Source organism: Homo sapiens, chromosome 1 (genome assembly GCF_000001405.40).
Source record: "Homo sapiens chromosome 1, GRCh38.p14 Primary Assembly".
In the NCBI taxonomy this organism is placed as follows: Eukaryota; Metazoa; Chordata; class Mammalia; order Primates; family Hominidae; genus Homo; species Homo sapiens.
The window spans coordinates 6,200,016-6,204,839 of NC_000001.11; positions in this window are offsets into that span (position 1 = coordinate 6,200,016).

The window sequence follows — 4,824 nt, forward strand, 5'->3', positions numbered from 1 at the left end:
GAGGTCCCAATGCCAGACCACTATGGCTTCCTCAAAAAGCCCCAGCTTGGAAGCTCATGCCCAGGGGCTGTCTCCCAGTGCCTGTCCTTTTTGCTGTAGCCAGGCCGCCCCCTCGCTGATCACCACTCCCTAGTTTCCCAGCCCAAGCCTTCTAGTTTCCCATCCCAAACCAGTAAGTAGTTGAGGACCACCAGGAGATCTGGAAAATGCAGATTCCAATTCCAGCGGTCTCAGTGGCCTGAAATTCTGCATTTCTCACAAGCTCTCAGACGATGCTGATGCTGCGAGTCCATGGACCGCATGTGGAGAAGCAAAGGTCCTCATCCCCAGGCCCACAGGTCCCTTGAACTGGGCTACTTTGCACCCAGTCACCCGCTGCGTCCTCACGGAATTATATTCCAGGATCCTGAATTGTAAATCACTCAGTGGCACACACACTCTCCACTCCCTTTACCTGGCTTCAGTGTACTCACCTAGCAAAAGTCCAATCACCAGAAGAGACTGTGCTGATGGGTCTAGCTTTCAACTCAGGCCTCAAGCCGGTTGACCAAGCTCCAAAGCCAGCTGCTGTTCTTGGCTCTATAATGATCAGGCTGGGCCTCTGCAAACACTTCTGCTTTCCAGCTGATCCCGGTTTGGCTCTATCAATAGGGGGCTTTGCTTCCTGCTTGCTCCTGTCCTGTCTGGTGTCATCCACTCTTGCTTCTTTATCCTGGAGGTGGCAGTTGGAACATTCTGGAAGCAGCAGTGGAATCCAGTCTGCACTTATTCCAACATTTGCAGAACCAGCCTCGTTTTCTCCTCAGAGACACCAGCCCTAGCAGAGCAGCACCCTCTCCTCAGATGTCTGAGTTTCACCTCCCTGTGCCCCTCCTCAAGCATCTACATTTTAATAATACCACCTACCAGTGGTAGCTACTTCCTGCAGTTGCTACTGTTAGTATTATACCCCGACAGTTACCTAAACACATCTTTATACCTAGTTAACAATCCTTTATATTAAATTCTCTCAGTTAAAAACTATAATGTGTTGTCTTTTGACTGGACCCTGGCTGATAACGGACCCTAAGCGAGCCCTCAGGGCTACTGACAATCCTAAATCTCTCCCCCAAGGGACTATTTCCCTTTCTTGTTGTTTTTAATAGAGACAGGGTCTTGCTCTGTCACCAAGGCTGGAGTGCAGTGGTGTGATCATAGCTTACTGCAGCCTCAAACTCCTGGGCTCAAGTGATCCTCCCACCTTGGCCTCCCAAATTGCTGGGATTACAGGCATAAGGCACTGCACCTGGCCCAAAAGACTATTTCACACCTCAGTCATAATGCCAGCCCCTTCTTCCTAAACCTCCCTCTCAGCAGTTGACTTTTATTGTTCTTTCCTTTTTCTTTCTTTTTTTTTTTTTTTTTTCTGAGACAGGCTCTCGCTCTGTTGCCCAGGCTGGAGTGCAGTGGTGCGAATACGGCTCACTGAAGCCTTGACATCCTAGGCTCCAGCAATCCTCCCACCTCAGCCTCCTGAGTAGCTAGGACCACAGGTGTGCACCACCATGCCCAGCTGCATGTTTTTTTGTTTTGTTTTGTTTTGCTGTTGTAGAGAGTTGGTGTCTCACTATGGCTATGTTGCCCAGGCTGATCTAGAACTCCTGGGCTAAAGCAATCTTCCTGCCTCAGCCTCCCAAAGTGCTAGGATTACAGGCGGGAGCCATCACACCCAGCCTCCTCCCGTCCTTATCTACACTTGATCTTTAGACAAGACCCACATGCTCTTCCCTTTAAATATGACTCCCCAGGCCAATGTGTGCAGCCTCTACCCCTCCCTGGACTCCCCACAGGTACAGCCAGTGGCATCCTTGGCATCTCTAGACTAGTGTCCCGTAGATCACCCTGACCCTCATGAGCCCATTCTCACCTCTTCACCCTCACCCCCACCTCCCCACACTCAAACCCTCATCCCTCACCCCACACCCCCTGCCCCGCCCCCACCTCTCCAGCCTCACCCCCATCCTCCATCCTCACTCCCATGCCATGTTCAGCCCTACTCCCCACCCTGAGCTCCTTCATCTCCAGCCACATTGATCTGCTAGTCTCTAAATGTCTTCCCATTTCTGGGGCTTTGCACTTGCTCTTGCCTCTGCTTGGAACTTTTCCCAGCTTTTCTATTTTTGTTTTTCTTTCGAGACAGGGTCTTACTCTATCACCCAGGTGGGACTGCAGAGGTGCAGTCACAGCTCACTGCAGCCTCAACCTCCTGGCTCAAGCAATCCTTCCACCTCAGCCTCTCAAGTAGCTGGGACTACAAGCACGAGCCACCATGCCCAGCTAAGTTTTAGTATTTTTTATAGAGGGGGGAGTCTTGCTATGTTGCCCAAGCTGGTCTTGAACTCCTGGGCTCAAGAGATTCACCCACGCTGGCCTCCCAAAGTGCTGGGATTACGGGTGTGGGCCACTGCGCCCAGCCTTCCTGGCTTTTCTTAATTTCTTATCCTCTGGGGGTCTCAAGCTCAGTTCCCCCTCTCTGCTCATGGTTACCTAGTGTGGTCCTCAGCTCGAGCCCCTCCCAACTGCCCTCCATCTCATCATCCTTATTTATTTATTTAATTTTTTAGGCGGAATCTCACTCTGTCACCCAAGCCGGAGTGCAGTGGCGCCATCTCGATTCTCCTGCCTCAGCCTCGCAAGAGTAGCTGGGATTACAGGCATGCACCACTACACCCAGCTAATTTTTCCTTTTTTTCCTTTTTTTTTTTTTTTTTTTTTTTTTTTGAGACAGAGGTCTCACTCTGTCACTCAGGCTGGAGTGCAATGGCGCAATCTCGGCTCACTGCAACCTCCACCTGCCAGGTTCAAGCAATTTTCCTGCCTCAGCCTCCGAAGTAGCTGGGACTCCAGGTGCGTGCCACCATGCCTGGCTAATTTTTTGTACTTTTAGTAGAGACAGGGTTTCACCATGCTGGCCAGGCTGGTCTCGAACTCCTGACCTCGTGATCCACCCGCCTCGGCCTCCCAAAGTGCTGGGATAACAGGCATGATCCATCGTGCCCAGCTAATTTTTGTATTTTTAGTAGAGACGGGTTTTCACTATGTTGGCCAGGTTGGTCTCGAACTCCTGACTTCAGGTGATCCGCCCACCTCAGCCTCCCAAAGTGCTGAGATTACAGGTGTGAGCCACGGCACCCGGCCTATCATCCTTATGATTTTCTTCCAAGCAGTTAATGCAGCCTGTCATTATTTGTTAATCTGTGTACTTGACTAACCTTGGCTGGTGTGTTCCCTTCTATGTGCCCATGGTAGATGCTCTGTAAATACTAGTTGAACAGATGCAGACATGAATGAATGGATGAATGAAGCACTCACCTCCTACCGGGAAACTAATGCATCATTCCTTAACAAAGCACCTACGCGGTTTTGTATACCAGCTCCACCACTTTCTGGGGTAATATTTTCTACTTTTTAAGAGTGTTCTCCAGATTAAATGAGTTAATATAAGTTAAACAGCTTAGAATAAAATATTGGCCCATATCTCCCCACCCTCCCTCCCCTTGTACAAAAAAAAAAAAAAAAGGCCCGGTGTGGTGGCTCACGCCTGTAATCCCAGCACTTTGGGAGGCAGAGGCGGGCAGGTCACCTGAGGTCGGGAGTTCGAGACCAGCCTGACCAACATGGAGAAACCCCGTCTCTACTAAAAATACAAAATCAGCCAGGCGCGGTGGCACATGCCTATAATCCCAGCTACTCGGGAGGCTGAGGCAGGAGAATCGCTTGAACCCGGGAGGCGGAGGTTGTGGTGAGCTGAGATGGCGCCATTGCACTCCAGCCTGGGCAACAAGAGCAAAACTCCATCTCAAAAAAAAAAAAAAAAAAAGAATCTTGGCCCATAAAAGAATGTTGGCCTATAAACACATAAACATTAGCCATTGCTACTACTGTCATTATGATTTGGTCCACAAATAGAACCAGGGCTAGGGACCGGGCATGGTGGCTCACGCCTGTAATCCCAGCACTTTGGGAGGCCAAGGTGGGGCGGATCACGAGGTCAGGAGATCGAGACCATCCTGTGAATGGTGAAACCCTGTCTCTACTAAAAATACAAAAAATTAGCCGGCCGTGGTGGCGGGCACCTGTAGTCCCAGCTACTCGGGAGGCTGAGGCAGGAGAATGGCGTGAACCCAGGAGGCGGAGCTTGCAGTGAGCCGAGATTGCGCCACTGCACTCCAGCCTGGGTGACAGAATGAGACTCAGTCTCAAAAAAAAAAAAAAGAACCAGGGCTAGGGACAGTCCTCAAAAGAACAGCTAGTTTCTCTCTAGAATTCACTTCCTTCTCCTAGCAAACTCCTACTCCTACGCATCCTTCAAAACCCAGCTCAAGGCCAGGCAAGGCGGCTCACGTCTGTAATCCCAGCAACTTTGGAAGGCCAAGGCAGGCAGAATGCTTGAGCCCAGGAGTTGGAGACCAGCCTGGGTAACACAGCAAAACCCCCGATGTGTGCAGCACATTGTACTTTTTATTTTTCTACTAAAAATACAAAAAAAAAAAAAAAAAAAAGGCTGGGTTCAGTGGCTCACACCTGTAATCCCAGCACTTTGGGAGGCCAAGGTGGGTGGATCACCTGAGGTCAGGAGTTCGAGACCAGCCTGGTCAACATGGTGAAACCCCGTCTCTACTAAAAATACAAAAAATTAGCCGGGCATGGTGGTGCGTGGTTGTAGTCCCAGCTACTTGGGAGGCTGAGGTGGAAGGAAGCCAAGGCTGCAGTTAGATATGATCACGCGGCGACAGAGTGAGATCCTGTCTTAAACAAAACAAAACGAAAACAGCTCAAATATCT